At 45.7% G+C, this 16,735-nt stretch overlaps 1 protein-coding gene across 3 annotated transcripts in view, besides 1 other annotated feature; it reads right to left on the bottom strand.

Annotated features, from left to right (window-relative positions):
- The window catches only part of SLCO3A1 (solute carrier organic anion transporter family member 3A1), a 318,728-nt gene that overhangs the window by 149,666 nt on the left and 152,327 nt on the right, over positions 1-16,735 (bottom strand). The gene's annotated exons all lie outside the window — the stretch shown is intronic.
- Positions 10,421-10,921: an enhancer, noted in NCBI's record as "H3K4me1 hESC enhancer chr15:92555079-92555579 (GRCh37/hg19 assembly coordinates)". NCBI's record gives its function as "activates a minimal SCP1, AML or CMV promoter by ChIP-STARR-seq in naive H9 embryonic stem cells {active_cell/tissue: H9 hESC(naive)}" and the evidence as "EXISTENCE:reporter gene assay evidence [ECO:0000049][PMID:30033119]".

Raw genomic sequence — 16,735 nt, 5'->3', positions numbered from 1 at the left:
ATTCCCTAACCAACCATGCAGTTAGTCTCTCCCATTCTGTAAACCTTTCTCAACTACCTATTATACCATTTACCAAAGCATCTTTCAGCTGTATGTTTGCAGACTTGCTGTACCCTGTGAGGGCAAGAGACCTGTTTCAGAGAGGCAAAATGAGTAAACAGCTGATGGGTGAATTCGAAAACAAAATAACAAATTTATTTAGCTTTCTGTCTTCTCTCACGAGCGTTTTGTAATAAGGCAGAAACAATGCATTTTGAGAAAATGACCACTCCTACAAGGCAAGAGCTTCTTCCTCCATCTGAGAGCTTCCTACACTTTAAGGCAAGTGGGCTAAGGTCATAGATTTCCTTAATAGTTCTATTGGTGACTCCTTATGGGTGACTATTACCCTTGGTCCTTACAAGGTATCACTCAGCAGGTCCTATGTAGAATGTTCACACGCACAGGTGTTAAAATGTCTGTTTTTGTTCCTAAATACAATCAGTCGAATCCACATACTGTACCTAAGTCAGCAAGAAAAGTTATATATAGCTGGAGGCTAAAAATAATTTTGGAAAAAAATGCAACTCTAAATATCCAACTTCCTCTGCTAAAATCTTGTCCTTTTAAAGCCGGGAATTTCCTGGTATCACTTGAATATTACTGATGTTTTATCTCCCCTAAAAGGCTCATCAGGATTTTATGCCAACAGATGGGAACTCTGGTTTCAGACAGGATTTCCTGCCTCATCACTACACCTTCTGGCTGAATCTAGAGCCAAAGCAATAAAATGTATTGGCTTTGCCTTCCTGCCACTCCAGGCAGGTGTGACAATCTGACCACAAGTCAGCTTTGGCCTTTGCTTTCTGAAACCAGGGCTGCCACTGTATTAGGCTGGGTGGAACGGCACAGGAGGCTCTGACACTCCTCTGCCTCCCACAGCCTCCCTCGGGCGTCCCTAGCCCTGGGTTCTCGGTGCCCCTGGTGCTTGCTTTGCACAGAGTCATCGTTAACAATAAAAGTACCTCGACTATGTATGTGAACATCTCTCACCACAGTGGAAGCTTCTTGAGGGTAGGGCTGTGTCTTATTCATTTTTGTGACCTTAATGCTTAGCATGTAATAAGAGCTAAGTAAGCCTCTCATGAATGATAAATGAAGACCAAGTCTCCAATAAAACTATTACGGAAATCTATGACCTTCGCCTACTTGCTTTAAGTGTAGGAAGTTCTCGGATGGAGGAAAACCCTCTTGCCTTGTAGGAGTGGTTGTTTTCTCAAAATGCATTGTGTCTGCCTTCTTGCAAAATGTCTGTGAGAGAAGACAGAAAGCAAAATAAATTATTTTGTTTATGAATTCACCCATCAGCTATTTACTCATTTTGTCTCTCTCTGAAACAGTCTCTTGCCCTCATGGGGCACAGCAGGCCTGCAAACATACAGTTAAAAGATGGTTTGATAAATGGTATGATAGGTACATGAGAAATGTATACAGAATGGGAGAGGCTAACTGCACGGTTGGCTAGGGAATGCTTTCTTAAAAGAGTAAGTGACATCTGCATCAGGGATTCAGCAGGCCTTCTGCTGCACTATCAAGGGCATACTAAGTCTGGGCCACCCAAAAATGTGAGGATGCGATGATGACAACAAGCACAACCATACAGGTGATGATAGGGATAGTGGCTGCCATTTGTTGAGTACTTAGACATGTCTGGGAAAACCCGTGTGACATATTACTTACTCCTCACTACAACCCTCAGAGGTAGGTATTATTATCAGCATCTCCTCATTAGGCAAGAACTGTGGTTTGGAGAGAAGATGCAACTTACATGAGATCACACAACAATGAAGCCAGGAATTTTACACTATTACTAAATTCACTTCTTTATCAAATACCACAGAAACAATGTAATGATTAAAAATATTTCTAAGTCGGCTTGGAAGAATATCTGTTTTTGGAAAATGCTGTACCATGCACTATACTACCTTCTGGATTGGGTAAATTCTCCACCACTGCCCACATGGATAAGCTATGGAAACAGGTCTCTTCTGAGCACTAATGTCAAAAGAAGCCAGCTAGCCTCATGGCACTGGCCTGACCCTCAGAGCCAGCTTTCTCTCTGTAGGGGAGTGCTGGGTGGTGCATGCACGGTGCCATCCCTCTTACTGTCTATCCATCCTCCTCACTTCCTTAATCAACATGACCCACACAGAATACAAATGGGAGTCAAGAGTGGCCACCATGAAACTGTAGGAAAATGAAAATAAAAATGGATTGATTTTCAATGCTAGTTAGCCCAAAAACCTGGGATGTATTTTTTCACTTTCCCAGGACAGGGGTCAAGTGGGCCAGCCCACATGGTTTCAGGAATTTAGTGTTTCTGCCAAACAAATTGGCTGAGATTAGACTATTAATCCATTGAGTTGACAGATTTCAGCATTGCTTCAAACTAGAGGCTTCGGGACTTTACAAAAATGTGCGCTATGGGGGAAAATATAGATGGATGGATGGATGGATGGATAGAGTACAGATATACTTTACATATATATATAGTGTGTGTGTGTGTATATATAGTGTGTGTGTGTATATATACACATGCACACATCGCATATACACTGAAGCTACAAGTCTACTTGGCTGGTAAAAAACTTGAGGTACTCAGAGAGAGGCTCATATCCCAGATATATAACAACTGAAAAAAGTCTGTCCCCACCTTGTAAATGGATCACATTCAGGGGAAGAGAATGGTCAACAGGCAGCAGTTCTTTGGAAGCGCCCTCTCTCAGGGCTCTGTATCCATGTCGCTTCCCCCACATGGTTCCACGAGCCTTGGGCTTTGATACAGTCCTCACTGCCCTGACATGAAGGCCACTCTGACTCCCTTCTCCTCTTCCGTATCTGGGCAGGTTGCCACCAAAACCCTGAGGTCTCTGCTGTGGGGCACCCGACAGACAATAAGGCACCCAAGTAGAAAGGAGCCACCCCACAAGTGGCAAGGCTGCTGGGCTCTGTACATATCTAACACACACACCGGCTGGAGTTCATCCTCGGGAAAAGGGACAAAGGCCTCCCTTTCCTGCCTGCCCATGAAACTGGGCGATCAGCTAAAATCTAGAAAGTAGATAGGCTTCAAGAGGAGGGTTCTGTCATAGGACAATCATTCCCCACAACCCTAGATTTCTACCCAGCAAACTCTTGACCATCCCTCAAGATGCAGTTCAAGTTTCCTGCTGTACAAGGAGTGCTTCCAGCGTGTGTCGTACCTTAAACACCACCAGCTCTCCTGGGCCTAGGGCAGGGCTTGGCCATGGCAGTGATTAACGAAGCTTATAAATAGGAGGAAGCCTCTGGGGGTGAAGGGGAAGAAAGTAATATTTACTGAACACTTAGCATGGAAGAGCTACATGCTTTGCCTTTACCTGATTTGATTTCCCTATGACTTTCATGAAATCAGTGCTCTCACTACCCCAAGTCACAGAGGAGCAAGCTGAGGCTTTGAGAAACACATCAAACATAATCCATAGCTTGCCCAGGGTCACAGAGCTGGTAAGTGGTAGAGCCAAGAGTCAGGCAGATAGTTTGACTCCAGGGCACCCTAAATCTCACACACAACCTCTGCCTGCACAAGTGAGAGGCAATGAGCAAAGTCACCCTGGCAGGCTGAAAGCAGCAACCGGCCAGCCCACACATGCTACCATTAGGAACCGCGCATCAGCCCCTCCCAGGACGCACACACCTGCCTCGTTAATGACGCACACACTCCTAGTTAAGACATAGAGTTCACAGCAACAGTTCAGCTGGAGCACTCTAAAAATAGCCTCCTGGGGGGAAAAAAATTCCCCATATGGCACCTTGTCCCAGGCCCAGCACCAGGGGAGTGATGGTAGCGGCATCAGATGCTGCAGTCACATTATCGTAACTGAGGGTCACCCAGCTTGCACCTGGATGCCTCAGTGGCCAGGCTCTTAGATTCACAGACTGGGAGGGCGACTGAAATGGGGAACACACTGGGGGACATCCCTGCACTCCAACCCACCCCGTGATCCCCTCTGATGCCATGCTCACCCACTCAGGTGCAGCCCACAGGTGAGACAGGCTCCCCACTCCTGGTGGCCCGACGGACGCCAGTCCTCCCTCCTGCCTCACTTCTCCTGGATTACCACAGCAGCCCCACCTTATCTGCCAGACCTGAGGTCAGGCTGCCAGGAGGCTGGTGAGGGGACTGAATGAAACCTGGCTCTGAAATGCAGAGCTTCCAATCCCTGCGGAAGAGAAGTGGCAGTATCACAAGGTGATGGCTGCCTGCTGCCACTTCTGATGCCATGAGAGATGCTGGTGGGGTCGTGGATGTAACACTGGTTAGGAGGGAGGGAGCACCATGTTCTGTGGAGGTGTGACCACGTGAGGCTGAAGCACCCAAGGTCACTGCTCTGAACCATCACCAGGGCCCCTGCTGGCTCTCAAGGACTACTGTGCACAGTAATGCAAGGATGGTGCTGACAGCAGCCCCTCACCAGGGAAACCCAAGTGACCTGGCCAAGGCCAAACAAAGACTTAGCAACAGGTTTGTTAAAACCTAAGTCCCTGACTCCCACCCAGTTCCCTTCCAGCTATGCCAGCCCCGTCACCGCCCCAAGGCCTGGCCTCACATCTGTCTTCTTCAGCCCATCCATCTCAGTCCCTTGTACTCGGGTACGCATCAGCCACAGCCCAGCCCTCAACCACATCATCACCTTCTGCGTTCCATCTCTGTCATCTCATCGCTGGCACCTCCCATCCATCCTCCTCCACTCATCAGCAGCTTGCCTGCTTCATCAAGAAGTTTCCCTCCGACCTCTCCAAACCTCCAACTGTTCTGAGCCTCCTGCCCTTCCAGGAGTATGTGGTGGGCTAGTGTGCTAGTGTGATGGGCCCCTATCTCACTCACCTCTGCCTATGTCTCCAAGCCTCCACCCTGGTCTGCTGGAGCAACCCCCACCACCCAAACAAGATCCCTGGCTGTCTGAGCATCCTGGGAGGTGTCATGTGCCCCTGGTAGCTTCACCTTCCCTTTTCGCTCATCCCTGTGAACTCCTGAGCCAATCCTCCACAAGAATCATTCCAGAATTTCTCCTCCCCAAATGTCCACACAGGCCTTCTCCCACCCTCCCCTACCACCCACAGCCATCACCCTCTCATTGAACATCCCTAAGAAGCAGTGGCTATTTTGTGTCAGCAACCCTGCTCCAGTCCTCTGTTCCCCTAAATATCCACCTCTACACCCATTTTCTTCCACCCCTGGATTTGAGAAGGGGAGCGCCATCGTGTCCAGCCCTTCCCCGCCTTTTCCAGAACATGCTTCACACACCGCTTCTTCTCTTTGCCATGTGTTCAACACTAGGTCCTTCCCTGTCAGGGAACATAATTTGGTTTCACTTACAGCTTTTTAAGTTTATATAAGGATCCCTGCTTCCTTTTGCTACTTAGATGTTTTCAATGCCACCTGCTCTTTCCCTACCCCCCCCCAATCCCAGCTCCTCCAACTCAATGGAAACAACATTCTTAAAGATCATCCGCACCTTTGAGGGATCAGTTCCAATAACCAGATCTTAACCCTCATTCTCCCTAATCTCCCTGCAGCAGCTGAAGCTGCTAATGTTTGATGTTGTCTTCTTTGGGCTCTTTCTCCTTTGCAAATGGTATCTAGTCGCTTTTTATGGTGCCTCTTAACCTTGGAGTCCTCCTTTATCTGTTCACTCTCCTTCTTCAGCCCATCAAAAGTGGGTGTTGAGTAGCTGATCCTCTGTATCCTTTTCTTCTCCTCTCTTTGAAGGAAGTGGTCTCCCTTGTGACTTCTAGAGAGATCCACACTACAGAGAAAATTTTCAAATGTGCGATCAAGCCCTAGTCTTTATCTTAATCCCACATAACTCACTTTGAGATGTAAGCATTTGGATTCTCATTGCCACCTCAAATCCACAGGCCCGAAGTTCATCTTCCATCCTCCCCCAATCTTTCCCTCCTCCTCCTCCTTTTATGACTGTGACCATCTGTCACTCACTCCCCCTGTCTTTGTGGTCTTCTTCCTCATGTCCCATCCATCCTTGCTTTGATAACTCTCTGGAATTCATTCTCTCTCCTCCATTTCACAGTCAGTATCCTGATGCAGCCCCTTATTAATTCATTCTTTAAGCCATGCAATAGTCTTTCACACTAGTCTCTCTGCGTCCCATCTCTTTGTCCCGTGCTGCACACTACCTACCTCCATGTCAACTTACAAAGGCCATAGAGATTGCCACTGCCTAGATCCCAAGGGATCAGGACGACATTCCTTCCTTTAGCCTTCAAAGCCTTCTTCAGGCTGGGCTCAGTGGCTCAAGTCTATAATCCCAGCTGAGTTGGGGGGATTGTTTGAGGCTAGGAGTTCAAGACCAACCTAGGAAACACAGTGAGATCTCATCTCTACCAAAAAAACAATGTTTGATATGCATTAGTTTATATCAAATACATAATATATATATCTATAACATCTATCTATCTATCTATCTATCTATCTAATCTATCTATCTATCTATCTATCTATCTATCTATCTATCTATCTATCTATATAAATATATATACAACAAATCTGCAACATCAAGACCTGGTTTGCTATCTCCCAGCCTTACATCTTTGGGCTTTTTGCACATCATCTTCCTGTCCAGAATGTCTAACTCTCTTCTTGGGGTTTGATAAAACCCTATAATGTCTAGCAGAAATTTCATCTCCTCCTTGGAGTGCCCTATCCTGAAATCCTTTCTGCCCACTACTTTAATCCTCTGAGGAGTGTCTCTGCAATTCATTTGGTGACCAACCACATGCCAAATCATTTGTACCTTATTTTAAATTTCCATTTCGTATTTTTCTTATGTCTTACTTTTCCAGCTATCAGCTCCTGCCTTCACCAGTTCTTCTTGGCCCCTGTTTCTGAAGCCATGTTCCTATAAGCTCGGGCCTTCCTGATTGAGCAAATGGGGTCAGAGCCTGGGCCCCACCAGCAAGCAGGGACTGGACCAGTCTTATCATCAGCAATGCTTGGGCAATGCCCACAACAGTTACCCTTAGCAGCCTGTTCACACCCCACGCTCACTGCCATGTGTAAACTCTAGGTTCTGGCCATCTTCCTGCTTGCTTACTGTTCTGCCTCTCCCTTGGGAGTGAAAGCTGTCCTAAACCCAATATGGTTTGGCTGTGTCCTCACCCAAATCTCATCTTGAAATGTAATCCCCATGTGTCAAGGGAGAGACCTGGGTAGGAGGTGATTGGATCATGGGGGCGGTTTCCCCCATGCTGTTCTCGTGATAGTGAGGGAGTTCTCACGAGATCTCATAGTTTAGAAGTGGCAGTTCCCCCTGGGCTTTTCTCTCTTTCTGCTGCCTTGCGAAGAAGGTACTTGCTTCTTCTTCGCCTTCTGACATGATTGTAAGTTTCCTGAAGCCTCCCCAGCCATGTGGAACTGTGAGTCAATTAAACCTCTTTCCTTTATAAATTACCCAGTCTGAGGTAGTATCTTCACAGCAGTATGAAAATGGATGAATACACCCGCCAACAGGACCTACGGAAAGCTCCTGGCATTAAATGTACCAAGTTGCTCACTCCTATGCCTAGCTCTTGCCTGCCCAAGCCCCCAAGGATGGACCTTGCTCATCAGTAGGACATCACTCCAAAGAGCTCTCCCACCTGAAACTAGAAATGGTGGTGCCCCTGCTTCCCAGTATTTCTCTGCTGTCCAAGGCTTCTGAAAGCCATGCCTTAAGCTTAGCCATGGAACCAAGAAAGAATGCATCAGCCTTTTGGGGGACTGCAAACCAAACAGTGGAGCTTTTCCCCTTAGGAAGGACTTACACTCACAGCTAGCTCAGTTCCCTCCACATCAGATCCAGGCCTGATCCTCCTTACCCTCCTCCTCCACCTCCCTCAATGCCTACTCTGTCTCCTTGCCAAGCCATGACGCTGAGTTCCCAGAATGCTTGGGACCTGAAAACCTCCCACCCTTCTCCCTCCACAGAGAAGGACAATATCCTCAAAGTGCCCCATTTTCCTCACCACTTCCACCATATAGCCTGGCAGACTAGGCACCCAATAAATGTTGTATAAGCAATAAATGTTGTTAATTTGATTTTTAAAGGCAAGTGTTTTAGTGGACAAGTGGAGGAGGAAGAGGTGGGTGTTTTGTGACAAGGAGGAGAGGGCAGGTTTCCATTTTCCCACTGCTTTTTAGCCATTAGGCCCCTTTTTCTGAGTAGTGTTTAAATGCTGGCTCATTTCCTGTGTATGCAAAGCCCATGGCAAGTATAGTTTGGTGCCCATAATAGCAATAAATTATGACTGTAATTGAAAATACGGGCCTAGAAGGAAACCCTAATCACGGGGCATTCTCACTCCTGCAGCCCTCCGAAGAGTGCCAGTTTTCTTTCCAGCTCTTTCTTTGCCTCTCTGCCACCCACGCTTCACATCTGTGCCCAGGTATTTGGCTTGAACCGGAGTTGCACTTAAAAGAGCCGCAGGTGGTCCACTGCCCCCGTGGCCCAGTGAACTGTGATCTAGGTGAGACGCCCATCAGGCTTCTGCATTTTCTTTTCCTTGGGAGGAAACAAAGGTACTGATTTTCCTCCATATATTTCTCCCCTGCCAAGGTGCCAGCCGAGACAAAGGAAAATGGGCTCAGGTTTAAGCTTTAGCCTGGATCTGGGGAGATAAAGAGGCCTTAGCATTGCTCACTGGGGGTAAGATTGTGCCCTCCTGGTCCAGAAAAGATGGGGGTGGGAGTGACCACGCGAGGGGAGGTCACCTATTTTTGGTGAAAACCTACTGTACGCTCAGCCTTTTACATAGAAAAACCTGCTTAATTCCTGCCTGACCTCTGTCACCTATTAGGACAGCATATTCTTGAGCAATCTCACAAGGTGAGAAACTGAGGCTCAGAGAGGTTCAGCATCTTGTCCAGTCACTGAACTGCATGGCGCAGGTCCAGGAATTAAACCCCACAGGTCTGACTCAAAGTCCAAATCCTTCCTCAACATCCCCTGCCAGCAGGACCTCTAAAGGGCCTTTTAGATGCCATGATTTTATGACAGGTCTATAGCTCAGCTGGATTTAAAAACAAGAAAGAATGTTTGATTGTGAGTGACATTTTCTGTATCACTGAAGAATGCCTGTTTGTCTCTTCTTAATACTTTAAGTCATCAGCTGAGAAGTGTAACCTAACTCGGCGGGTGGCTGGGGCACCTTGTTTCAAGGCTCCCTGTGCTGTGCTCCTCGGGCACATCAGACCACAGGAACAAATCTCATGTCACCTTCTGCCACAAAGGGGTCACCACTATCCAAAACGGCTGGTAGGGTTGAGGTCAGATCACCATGGCAGCCAACACAGCACCTGGCCCAAAGAATAGGCCACGTACTGCAGGAACATCAGAGGCGTTTGGCCGCAGCACCTGTGTGACTCAAACCAAGCCTCAACATCTATGAGCCTCTCTATTCATCCACGAAATGAGATACCAATATCAATCCATGCTGCCGAGAGAACTGATGAGTAATTAGAGTCCAAGTTCACATTCCCTCTATGCTGAGAAGGGCCCGGTCTTGCCCTTTGACAAGTCTAGAAAGATGGCTCTCTCCCCCTAGCTTCAAGGTCTGCCACATGCAAAGCCACCCATCTGCACACAGGCTTCCTTTCTTCTAGTCCAGTGGAGATGTCAGTCTCCCTCTCTCTGGAAGCTGAAGCCTCGTAGCCAGAACTGTGGGGCCACTGGCTATTTTCCCTGGAGGACCGTGTGACGCAGGGTCTTTTAATTTTCAGGCTGTGAGAGCTTTGATCCATAACCTGCTACCGCAGTTGTTCTTTTACATTCAACAAATGCCATTTTCTTTTTCATGAAGTACTTCTCTGAAGTTATTCATCTTTGTATTCACTGGTGATTTATTTGTTCTTTCTCTAGCTCCTTGGGGATGCTCTGAGGATGTTTCTACCTCAGTCGAGCAGGGCCTAGAGTTAAGCCTCGTCTGAGCCTTTTTTTTTTTTTTTTTTTTTAAATTAGAGACAGCATTTCATCATGTTGCCCAGGCTGACCTTGAACTCATGGGTTCAAGGGATCTGCCCACCTCAGCCTCTCAAAGTGCTGGGATTCCGGGTGTGAGCCAGTGCTCTCACAGGGGAAAACCATGTACCTGTACAAGGTTCTTCATCACAGTCTACATCAACTCCAAGGAAAACAATTTCTAGAGCAATGTGGTCAGCGATGGGAAGGGGACACTTTCCACAAGGCCAACACCACCTCTGGGTCTGGCTTTATGTATTTCTGAAGTGCCTGCTATTCTGAGTCATGAAATGAGTGACACACATGCTCCCTTGGCTTCAAGGTGACTAAATTCCCAGAACTGTGGGCTGGGAAGGGACCTTGAAAACCTTCACTTTCAATTTGCTCATTTCACGGCAAGAAAAGCCCAAGAAAGCTGAGCCCTTTCCTGCTCTTATCCAGACTGATTCCTAATGGCGAGCTGTTTGCTCACGTGCAAGCTGCTCCAATCTCAAAGGCTTGTAACTGAGAAGATGAAAATACAATGGTCTTTGTAAGAGGCAACAAGGACAGCAGAAGATGCACTCATGCAATAAACGGCACTGATTATTACATAAAGGCAACCTCAGTGACAGTGGGTTGCTTGCATTGCTGCCCGAGGCTCTGCAGGGCTCCGCCTTCTGTCTCTTCCTCTCTGGGCTGTCTTTGCACCACCCTCCTTCTCCTCTGAGGCTTCAGTCCCCGCTCATGTGCTGGTGATTCGCTGGCTCTCACCTTCAGCTGTGACAAGTTTACTCAGAAGCAGCAGTCTGTGACCCTGGGGACAGCTGCCAGGCTGAGCCATTCCAAATAACACAGCAAATTGAGAGGTTCCCTGATGTTCACAACCTCTTGCGTATAACTCGCTCTGTTCACATCACTAGAGGGCTGCTAGCCACTGCCGTTACTCACCCATTCAATGGTCAGGTCCTGGGCTGTGACTGCAGGCCAAGCACCACGCTAGGAGCCAGCGATGCTGCCCTTGGCAAAGCTGAGCCCTTGCCCTAGCACAGCTAACATTCCTTTGAGAAGGTGAGTCAGTAAATAACAATATAAATACATCACAGGGCAGGCACTGATGGCGCCAAGGGGGTTAAAAAGCAAGGAATGAGAGAGAGAATAACTGTCAAGGAAGTGGGGGATTCTTGCATTTTACATAGGGTGACCCAGGTAAGCCTCTCTGATAAGATGGAATTTTTTTTTTAAGAAGCATGTGTTTAAATTTTTATCTTTTTTTAAAACTGATATATAATAATTGTACATATTTATGGAGTACAATGTGATGTTTCCATACATGTGACAGTAAGGTGACTACAGTCAACAATAAGGCATTGTAATCTCAAAATAGCATGAGAAGAGGATTTTGTGTGCTCCCACAACAAAGAAATGATGAATGTTTGAGGTAAGAGCTATGCTAATTACCCTGATTTGATCATAAGGTAAGATGGCATTTGACAGATGTGGGAAATAAGTGAGGAAGAGAGCCATTTGGATATCTGAGAGAAAGCGTCCCAGGTAGAAAGGAGAGGAAATGCAATGGTCATGGGATAGGACCCTGCCCGGAGCATTCCAGAAGACCAAGATGTCCGGGGTTGCTATAGCCAGTGAGAGAAGAGGAGTGTGGCAGGGGCCCTGGTCATGTAGAGCCTTGAAGGCTATTGTGAGGATTCTGGTATTTTCCAGGCATTGGACTGACTTGATCTGACTTGGGTTTTAGCAGGATCGCACTGGCTGCTGTGCTGGGAACAGTCTGTTTAGATGGCTACTGTGAAGATCCATGTAAGACACAATGATGGCTTGGACTGGAACAGCCAGCTGGTGATGGAGGTGGTGAGGAGTAGGGGGAATCCCAGCTATTTTTTCAGAACAAAGTTGATTGGATCATAGAGACAGTTGTGAAAACAATCAGGGCCCCCTGAGACTGCCCAGTGAGTCTCAGCCCATCATTTATTACTGGGCTTGGGGCTTCATGCGGCAGAGGGGTCATCATGCAGAAAGATCAACAGGGCTCATAAAAAATTAAGTCCAGCCGAACATTTGATCCCCACTGACATCAACAACAGAGTTACAGGAGAAAAATTTAAATGAATTTTGTTTTGCAGACAGGTAAGGACAATGGCACTGTAACAGGAAGCAAATGCCTACACAGAAGTCTAATAATTACATAAAAATGCACAAGGATTTATTATTATATACTAACACCAATCAATATGCCATTGATTGATGGGTTCTAATATGCATGAGCTGTTAATAAGTGTCCTAGGAAGAAGTGAAAAAGGGTCCCTAGACCAAATGAAACTGAGAAACGCTGGACTGAATGCAGTTAAACTGGTTTCTTTGTGCAGAACTGCCTAGGGGCTTTAATATGTTAACGTGCATCACCATTCTCCAAAAGGGAGCTTTATCAAGACCATATATTTTATTGGTGTTGTTTTAATGGAGCCCCTTCCAAGAGTAACGTTATTTGAAACACTTTAGAGAAACACTGAATAGGTTACATAGATCACCTGAGTATCTACTCTGCAGTCTAGCATCCCATAATTCAACAAAAACTTTCCAGGGTCCTGTGCTGAGTGTTGCAGATATAATGAAAAGTAAAGATCCTAAGTGTCATGTGGTAGTTTATCCTAGAGGGGCTCAAGGTACCTGCTCCGCCATCTCCCATTTGCTTGACTCTGGGCTGTCAAGAGTGCGGTGAAATTGCAGGGAGGAGCTACACAATGAAGTCTGGGGGAGTCCAGCCCACATGGCACTTCTCCATAAGACTTCCATGTGCCACTGTCCCTCTCCATGAGCACGGGGCTTTGGAAAATGCCTCTATTGGATGAATGCACACCTTTCCCTCATTGCACATCGCCTGCCCATCTGAACTAAACAGAAAGGACTTCAGGAAAGAAACATCTGTGGGACAAGCTTTGTATTGCTTCATGTTACTTCTCTTTGGTCCTCATTACAACTCCACACTGATAGTAGCTAACATTAAGGAAGCTTTTAGAAGGAGGTAAGTTCTGTCCATGCACCATCCCATTTAGACAGACCTTTGAAGGATGTGGGTACTGTCATTCAAAATGTTGGAAGGAAACTGAGACTTGTTGACCTTTGATGACCTGCCTAAGATCACACAGATCATAGTGGTAGAGCCAAATCCAAATGGCACCATGGTGTCAAAGCCTGCTGTCTTCCTGACACACGAATCCCTGGTTTACTTATTGCACAGGCTGTACAACAAGCATCAGGCCGTGCTGGAGACATTCTCGAGTTGGCTTTTGCAGCTCAGAAACTGAGTGGGCTGGCAGGAGTTAACCCAGGGTACTGCTCAGAACCTGAGTCACCTAACCAGGCTCCTGAGTGACAGAATGACAGAGATGTGAAGGAGCCCAGGACACTTTGTATCTGTTCTCTCGTGGTTGAGCTGTGGGCCCTGGACTATGACCCCAGCAGAACTGGCTCTTGCTTATTTCAATCCTAGAGTTGTTCCTCCAGAAAATATTCTGATGGTGAGTGAGGCAGAGGTTTGCAGACTTCCCAACTGTAACTCAGGGGACGGCTCGGCAGAGCATAACATTTGGGACAGCATGCAGCCCTTGACCTTGACTTGGATGATGGCTGCGGTCAGTGAGAAGAAAAACACATTGGCACAGAGAAATATCAGAGTGTACAAATGTCATTTCAATTAAAAAGAACATGTCAGAAGTAATATATTTTTCATTCTCTCTACAAATGACTCCATCTACAATATGATACAAAATCATTTTACACATCAGAAATCCATAAAATCTCTTCAAATAGAGTTTCCTAGCTGAAATATTGCTCTTCTTGGTAGACAGGGCGTTGATCTGCCTTTTTGACCATGACTGATGCTATCCAAAGCAGATTTGCTTTTTGAAAGGATTTGCTTTTAGTTTCAGTTTTACATTCACATATATCATATAAACGATTATGGTCCCAGTTATTGTTTTCTAGGCGTAATAATCACATTTGCCAATATCACTGAAAAACATCATTGAGAAAACAACTTATACCTATCTCTGTGCATGTGTGTATAAAACCCTTATGTTCTACCAAGTTGAACACAGAATTTTAAACCTGATTTATGATTTCAGTGTCAATGTTGACTCCCCAAAACCTGTAAAAATGAATCTAGATGATTGTAGTATGCCAGTTTAGAAAGGAGGTCACAAGTCAAGGAATTTAAAACGAAAACATCTTAACTGCAATTTATTTTTTTAGCTCATTGAATGTGCAACTCAGCTAGATACTTCATAAACATTACTTCATGTTCACAAAACCCACATGGAACAAGTGTTATGATTCTGTTTTTACAGCAGGGCAAACTGGAGTTCAGAAAGAATAGGTGACTTGCCTTTGGGGCACTGCACAACCTGGCGGCGAAAGGGGGATACGAACCCCAGTCTGTGTTACCATAAAGCCTGAGCTCCAGGGAGGTCTCACTTGCTGGGTCCAGGTTTTGATCAAATCAGACCCATGTCAACCCCAGTGGAAGCCATTTCAAGAAATATAGCAATCTGAATTATGTGTTATGTGTGTATGTGTTTGCAGGAAGAAAAAAAGGTCTTTCAGTTTTGCTAGTGGGTCATTTAGGGACCAAGTATGGGGTTGCTCTCAAGTTCATTCAAGCAATGGCACCTGTGATTGGGTCCTCCTGTTTACCGAGCCGACTTCTTTAGAAAAGGCAACCTTTCTGGACCCATCGGAGACATTTGACCTGTAGGTTCGAAATCACCAAGTCCTCAAGGCTGTCAGTATGGCTCTTTCTAAAGTCTTTCTTCTGAAAAGAGATGCTTCCAAAAATTTAGAAAATAAATAAACTTACAGTCTTTGAGGTACTACCCTATAAACTAGTAGAGCTTGGATCGCTCTTCCTTGGGTAAAATACTCATGGTAATCCCAAAATACCCTAATTTTATGCTTTGGGGATTATTTTAATAATTTAATGCATGATGCCCCAAAACTTACAGAACAGGAAAAAGAAGTATACTACTTTCCTTCCTCCACGCCCTCTCCAGTTCTTCTAATTTTCAGAAAAGCCTACTAATTCTAAGGCCTCTAAAAATCTGCGAGAGGTTCTTAGCGTCAATTAAATCATCCACTTCCCTTGCTCCTCCCTTCCTATGCAAGGCCATTCTAGTACATACAACCCAAGCCCTTCTGCCACTCACCATGAGGCAAGCCTCCTTCCACACTATCCCTATTCAGTGACTCCTCTTCCTCTGTTCTCCCCCAAAACAACATCTGACATCCACCCCATCTTGTTCTCTCCCCGACCTTTTCTTTGCAGTCTTCCCCGATTCAACGTAAGAGAGGACTTCCCAGCCTCAATACTCCAGCCATATATCCATCCAATGTCCCTTCAACTCAAGCTCAGAGTCTGCCATGGTAGAAAGCTGTCGTCTTTTCACTATGGAACAATGCCTGAATATTTTGTGTTTATGGGTTCTCCAACCAAGTTCCACATTAACTAGACAGGTGTTAAGAGAACAATCTCTCTTCCTTATTCTTAGCAGCACCTACCATGAAACTGACCTTTATCTCATTGAGAACATATATATAAAGGTATTGTCCTAAATGTTACACCACAGACATATTGTAGTCCTCCTGCGTGTCAGTGGAAATGTTGCTTAGTTCGTTTATAAACTGTTGTGCAATGCATGTGAGTGCTAAATCGGTATAATATGACATTCCAGGTTATATAATTCAATGCAGCACAATTCCCAAACTATCAATTAACGAGCCTTTCTGCTACTTCCTTTAGAAATTATTTTGTTGAAGTAAAGGACTCTGGTTCTCTAAAACAGAGATCAAATAAAGGGAGACATTGCTAAAAGGATACATTTGGGGGCTTTCCCTAGAGGGGAACTCCCTTTCTGGACTGGAGTGGTAGCTTAATGAAGAAGCTTCATTAGTAATTCTGATGATTCTCTCTGCACTAGACACATCTATCCTGTTTATTACGCTCACTATGTTTTGTCTTTTGGGGCACTGGAAATCTAGTTTTGAAAAAGAGTTGAGTCTTTAACAATAACGGCAGTCATTTAAATGAATAGGAAATTGTTGTCGTTTTTTTCCTGCTGGAATTTTTTACTCAGCTCATCTTAAAGACACAAGGAGTGTTGGGCACAGAAAGGGCTGGATCAGGCAGACATATGCCAGATCAAAGTAGGAAACAGTCACCAGCATGAACCCCAGCACTCATTATTTGTGGGAAAAAGACTCACAGAGATTGACTTCTAGCAAGCTCATGACCTAATATGCCTCTAACCAAAAAGCACCTGTGCTCTTGAACTAACTCAGTAGCTGTACCAAAGTCCAGTAAAACTCATTCATTCTAACAAAGGTCAATCTGGCGCTCATAGAAGCTGTAGCTTATGTCATGGATCTTTAACTAATGTCACCTCTGAGCTCTTGGTCAGGCAGACCATCTGCTCTTAGAACCAGGATGGCGAACAGGCCCTGCTCTTTCTCGAAGTGCAGAAGTTAGAAAGGATGCAAAATTTTTAGGCAACTCCAGCACAACCTGGCTTATGTGAGAGACCTAATTAACCTCTGAATTTAATATTTTCTGATTGTTGCTTTCTAGGCTTTATAAAAAACAGATTAGCAAATTACCTAACAGCACGCCCAAGCATGAGACGACAGAGCAACTCAGCTGCTAACAGACACAG

The sequence above is a fragment of the Homo sapiens genome, chromosome 15, assembly GCF_000001405.40.
Source record: "Homo sapiens chromosome 15, GRCh38.p14 Primary Assembly".
NCBI lineage: Eukaryota > Metazoa > Chordata > Mammalia > Primates > Hominidae > Homo > Homo sapiens.
Note: the sequence above shows the minus strand (reverse complement) of the source record. Positions and strands in the feature narration are given on the sequence as shown.